Genomic DNA, 6,285 nt, shown 5'->3' with positions numbered 1-6,285 from the left:
ATCAGGATACTTTCCACATGCTACTGTGTTTGCAGATGTGTCTTTCTGTTTCCTGTGAGATTGTGAGCATCCTCAGGGGAAGGAAATTTTTCATTCACTTTTGTGCTTCCAGTGCATAATATGGTGTCTAGAGAAGTATCATCCCTTCTTTTTGTGATAGAATGATTAAATGTATTAATATATGCATTGCTTTATTTTTTTCCCTTTTTTGGCTGATGTATGTGTCTGTGAATTTAATTGACATATGTGCTGTGTCAGCTTTGAGGTTCAGAATGCTGGAAGCATAATAACTAACTTTGGGTAATCTTAAGCAATAAGAAATTATCTGTGTTCTGGAAGAAAAGAGAGGTGGCTATTTGTGCAAGGATGGCTTGTTTGCTTCAATGTATTGATGGAGAGAGGTAACCTAGGTTATACTGTGTTTGTTGTCTTTATGTGAAATGATGCAGATATCTGCAGTATCTTTTTCTCATTAAAGAGTTGTCTTAAGGAAACAACTCAGCAACTGTCAGGGCAGTGGCAAAATGAGTCATTGATTTGTAGTCAGAATAGCCAACTCTATGCTAATAGATTTGCCAATTTTTCAGGGCCTCTTTTAGAATTCACCTTCCTGTCACACAGCATAGCACTTGGTTTGCTACTTTGAAGTGAGGAATGTCCCTTCTTGTGACCCAAGCTGTCTGCCCCTCTGTCACTAGATACTAGCTTCTAGAGTAAGTTTGTACCTTTCACTCAAATAAATGCCACTAGAGCTTAAGGTGAAAAGATTCACCTCAATGTTTTTTCCAGATAAATTGTGATGCTAAAGACATTCTCAGGTGGAAAGCTGAGGTTCCATTTATGTGGGGAAATATGAGCCCCCTCTCCCAAATTCCACGTAGTCCAACAGAATTCAAAATGATAGTTATTTCTTGACTGTGAAAATGGCCAAGCAGCCTGAGAAACCACTTAGTCTTACTTTATTGGAAACTGAAGCCAAAATTTCTGAGTGCCTGTGGTTTCCCAGTCAGAAACTGACTGAAACAAGACTCAAATGCAAGTCTGACGACCATGCCACATGGCTAGAAATGCATCCTCCCTTTTTCTTCTCTGCTATAGGCTGGCACTAGAGGTGTGTATTATTGATTGGTGGACAGTCAGGGTGTTGTGTTGAATGGTTATGGCAGCTCTTATAAAAGCCATGCTGGATCTTCATTTTCCTCTTCTCCTATTTCCAAAATCAATGTAGCATATCGTTTAAGTGTAGACGCCCTTAAGCCAAGCCACACTGGTTAGGACTCAAAATTTACCTCTAAGTAGCTACAATAAATAAATGAATTGGTTAAGTGACTTAATTTCTCTGTGCTTCAGTGTCTTCAGTAACAAAGTTGGATAGCCATGATACCTCCCATGATATGAGCAAGTTAAAAGAGTTAACCAAAGTCCAGTACCTGGAATAGTGACTGGCACATGCTGAGCACTCAAGCAACCTTACGTGTGCTTAGTCATAGGAGTGTGTAGGAATGACTTGAGCGCTGATGTCTTCCTACTTCCCCCTTTTTATTTAGAATTGGAGTGAGATCCTTATTTTGCTGTATATTACTCACGGTCTCAACTCTATCTCATTTGTTTCAGTATATTCTTAGATCTTCTGCTTATATTTGAACTGTGAAAAAATAAAGACAGAATGGTATAGAGGCTAAGAACACGGGTTTGGGAGTCAGTCATACCACATTTTGGCAAGACTGGAATCAGCCCACATGTTTTCCTTTCCTGCCTTCAAAATCTCAGCCAGAGCCACTATCTAAGGCATATGGAATGTTTTATGTATCAACACAAGCTCCAGTGTAATGTCACATAGAACCAAGGGACCCACTTTATAGCAAGGGCAGCGTTAAATTATAGATATGCTTATGGAATCCACTTGTTCTTTTATATATATATATCACACCACCCAGAAACTGCTGGCCTAATAGAGCAATAGAACCAAGCTGTTGAAGACACAGCTGAGGCACCAACTTGCAGACAATACCCTGTGAAGATGGGGCATCATCTTCTAGGACACCACACACACCTTATATGAACATCCACTAGATGACATTGTGTCTCCAATGGGTAAAATATATAGGTCTGGAAAGCAGTAGGTAGAGCCAAGAAGGTCTGTGCTTTCCATTATTTTCAGTGATCTACTTGATAAATGTGCGGTCCACACCCCTCAACTTTGTGTTCTTTGTGGTTAGAAGATATGATTTTCAAAAGGGAAATGTGTCCATCAAGATATCCACTGAACTTTAGTCTAAGACTTACTCAAGTGCCATGGGCTTCTTCTGCCAAGGGATCACCTGGGTGGAATACAATTCACAATCCTGGTAGGTGTAATTCACCCAGATCTTTACAAGGGGGAAGAGCTGTTGTCCCGTTATGGAGAGAGGGACCAATATGTTTGAAATTCAAGTTATCAACTTGGATATGTCTTAGTTCTCCCTTGCCTAATGTTGATGATACAAGGATAAGTTTAATGGCTGATGCTGCAAAATAACATGGGAACCAGGGGTACAGACTACTCAGGAATGAGGATCTTGTCCACACCACAAGGTGAGCCACCAGGATCAGTAGAGGGGCTAAGTAAAGGGAAGGGGTTTTTAGAGTGGATAGTAATAGACGAAGGTCATAATTAGCTGTGGCTGCAACACCAGTTACAGCAGTGGGACTGCAGTTCATCCTACGAATCTACCACTATCTTGCATTTTTTCTAGCAAAAGAAGCCCACCAGAACTTTTGATATGATGCAAATATATTAAACTGACATAAAGGGTAAACTATCATATATTCTGTACTGTGCTATATCAATCTCTCTTTTAGGATTGATATAGTCACCCAACTGCTGATTAGATTGCCGCTAAAAACTTGTGGTTTTCAGATGAAGAAGGTTGACTAGCCCCAAAGTCCTCCTTTGCAGTACATCTTGTATGTAATTACTGATTGCTACAGTGGTGTGAAGGCCTGGAGTCCTCACCTTAACTTGTGACAACTCTGAAGGGCCATCCTAGCTCCAGAGCATTGGTTACAGCCTTCCTGTAATACTGCATCAGAACCTGACATGTCCCTTTGTTCAATCCTGCTTTCTTTCTTTTTCCTCATGAATGAGGAAATCATTTACTAATTTTACTAAATTTTACTAATTTTTACTTACTAATATTTACTAAAGTTTACTAATGAGAACAATCATTAGTAAACTTTTTGCACGTGAAGCTTTATCTCGTATTTCCTGAGGACTTCAACCTATGTTGTCACCTGAATATACACCTACCCAAGTAGGAAATGACATACACAGAAGTTATCTAGTTCAGCACCACTCCAAAGGACAAGGTTTCATGAGCAAGACTAAACTGTCCTTTAAATAAACTATGGTATCCTCACAATGCAATACTGCACAACTTTCAAACACTAAGGAAAATCTCTATGAAGTATATGGAGATAATCTCATGATATATTATAAAGTAAAAAAAGAAATAAAAAAGCTTCAGAGCAATATAATAATATGTGACTTTTATGTATGAAAAGACAGAAAATAAAAATAGAAAATATATGCATATATCTATTTTGGCCTAATAAACAATAAAGTAATAAATGAAAACAGCTTATATAGGGATGGGTGTGAGTAAAATGGATAGGAAGGAGCTGAGACTAGAATTATTTGGAATTTAAAGTACTGTTGACCTTTGAAACAAGTAAATATTTCACATAATCAAAACATAAAAATAAAATTTTAAAGAAAATATAGTAAGCCTTAATATTGAATCCAAATAGCAACATATAAACATACAATGACAACATAAATACATAAGGGCAGCAATCATTTCAGAACCTGTGAAACACGACTCTGACTATATATCCTTAATAAGATATTTCGTAAGGGCAAAAAAAAAAAGAGTCTGAAAAGAATTTAGATTTTACTTACTAGGATTATTGCCAGTTGCAACTTTTATTTTGTAATTTGAGTTTTTTATGTATGTCGTAAAATTGAGAAAATAATTTAATATTTTTATACCATTAAGAACAGTGGAAAGAATACAAAACATAAAATAACAAAAGTTTTTTTTTTTTTTTTTTTTTTTTTGAGATGGAGTCTTGTTCTGTTTCCAGGCTAGAGTGCAGTGGCACAATCTTGGCTCACTGCAACCTCTGCATCCTGGGTTCAAGTGATTCTCCTGCCTCAGCCTCCCAAATAGCTGGGACTACAGGCACACACACCACTATGCCCGGCTACTTTTTGTATTTTTAGTAGAGACAGGGTTTCACCATGTTGGCCAGGCTGGTCTCGAACTCCTGATGAACCCGTGATCCACCCGCCTAGGCCTCCCAGTGTGCTGGGATTATAGGTGTGAGCCATCATGCTTGGCCCAAAAGATATTTTAAAAAGCTCTTTAAAGTTTGAATAGGGAATATCTGGTAGATCAGATTGCAAATACACAGATACACACACCACAAACCAATGATCACTGAATTTGTGGTGGTGCTAAAGCAATACATATTCAGTAGAAACTGTATTTTGAGTACCTATACAACCATTCTGTTTTTAACTTTCACTACAGTATTTAATAAATTACATAAGACAGTCAACACTTTATCATAAAATAGGCTTTGTGTTAGATGATGTTGCCTAATTATGCACTCATGTAAGTGTTCTGGGCACATTTAAGGTAGGCTAGGCTAAATTATGATATTCAGTAGGTTAAGTGTGTTATAAATAAAGTTTCAGTGCTGCAAAAGAAATAGCACTCAAATATAAAATTTTCTTTTTAATTCTCAGCAAGGCAATGTACTTCTATAGAAGGGTGCACCCTTACAGATGGAGCAATGGTGAGTGCACACTTGGACAAGGGAGGGGAACGGGTTCTTATCCCTGACACATGTGGCCCCTGCTGCTGTGCCATTCCCCTATCGTCTAGGGTTAGCCAGCATAGGCTAAACTAATTCCAATTGTCTAATTTAAAGAGAGTGACAGGGTGAGTGATTTGGTGGGAAAAATGGTTATGGCAGAGCAGGAAATTGGAATGAGTCAGGGTGCAGAATGAGCAGGTAATTGGAATGAGTCAGGGTGGAGAATGAGTCAGGATGGAGAATGAGTCAGGGTGGAGCAGGTGATTGGAATGAGTTAGGGTGGAGCAGGTAATCGAAAAAGGTTGATTTACAAGGAAGTTTAAAACTAGAAGGCAAAGAATTTAACATACTGACATATTGATTCTTTGAAGAGAAATTTAGCACTCATATCTAACAAGGGTATTAAATGCATGTTTATGAGGCCATAACCCCATTGTAAGTTGAGGAGCATCTATATAGATAATATTTCTACGAAATTCTACTTTACATAATATATCTACAAAAATCTGGACTCACAAACATTTCCAATTCAAATTTAGCCTTAATTCAATATTAATGATTTTTTAAATTATTAAATTATTCACATGGTGTCAAAGCACCATGGAAATTTATCTTTACATAGGAGAAGGATTAGTGTTACCTTGTGGTGGGCAGATTCTAAGGTGACTCCCATGATCCTTGCTTCTTGGTGCTCATGTCCTTGCACAATCTCCCCTTGAGTGTGGACAGAACTATTAGCTTGCTTCTTAACAAGCAGAATGTGGCAAAAGTAACAGGATGTACACTATTACCTGTATTTTACTAGGTTATATGACATTGTAATATCTGTTGTACGAGCAACTCTTTCCCTTGCTGGCTTTGAGGCCACAGTTGCCGTGGTTTGAACAGACCTATTAAAGGCCATGTGGCTTGGTAAGTAATTGAGAGCTGTGTCCAGTAACTAGGCCAAGGCACTGAGGCCGTAAATCTGGAAGCCCAAAAGAAGCTCAATGCTGCAAATAACCACATGGGCTTGAAAGTGGCTCCTTTCCCAACTGACTTTCAGATGAGACCATAGCCTGTCTTGATTTCTCCATGTGAAATTCTGAAGATGAGGACCAAGCTAACCATGCTTGGACTCTTGATCCAGAGGAAATGGAAGATAATAAGTGAGTGCTGTTTAAATCTACTAAATTTGTGGCAATATTGTTAAGCAACAATACAATACTAATCAATGTACCCCTGGACCAACTGATAAATATTAACAGCTTGGGATTAAAAATCAACATCTTGTAACAATATTTGTCTCCTGTTGTACTTTCATGTAAGTTTTCTAATATCACTTGTGAGGCAAGTACTCTCCCCAAACATATTTATCTCAAAACTCGTCTAGTCCTTAGACCTAAATATATATATACAGAGAGAGAGAGAGAGAGAGAAAGG

At 38.1% G+C, this 6,285-nt stretch overlaps 1 annotated feature.

The window, feature by feature from the left end:
- Positions 4,687–5,886: an enhancer, noted in NCBI's record as "MED14-independent group 3 enhancer chr11:41999882-42001081 (GRCh37/hg19 assembly coordinates)". NCBI's record gives its function as "activates an origin of replication core promoter dependent on BRD2, BRD4, P300/CBP and CDK7 cofactors, and independent of MED14, by STARR-seq in HCT116 cells {active_cell/tissue: HCT116}" and the evidence as "EXISTENCE:reporter gene assay evidence [ECO:0000049][PMID:35650434]".

This window comes from Homo sapiens, chromosome 11 (assembly GCF_000001405.40).
Source record: "Homo sapiens chromosome 11, GRCh38.p14 Primary Assembly".
In the NCBI taxonomy this organism is placed as follows: domain Eukaryota; kingdom Metazoa; phylum Chordata; class Mammalia; order Primates; family Hominidae; genus Homo; species Homo sapiens.
Note: the sequence above shows the minus strand (reverse complement) of the source record. Positions and strands in the feature narration are given on the sequence as shown.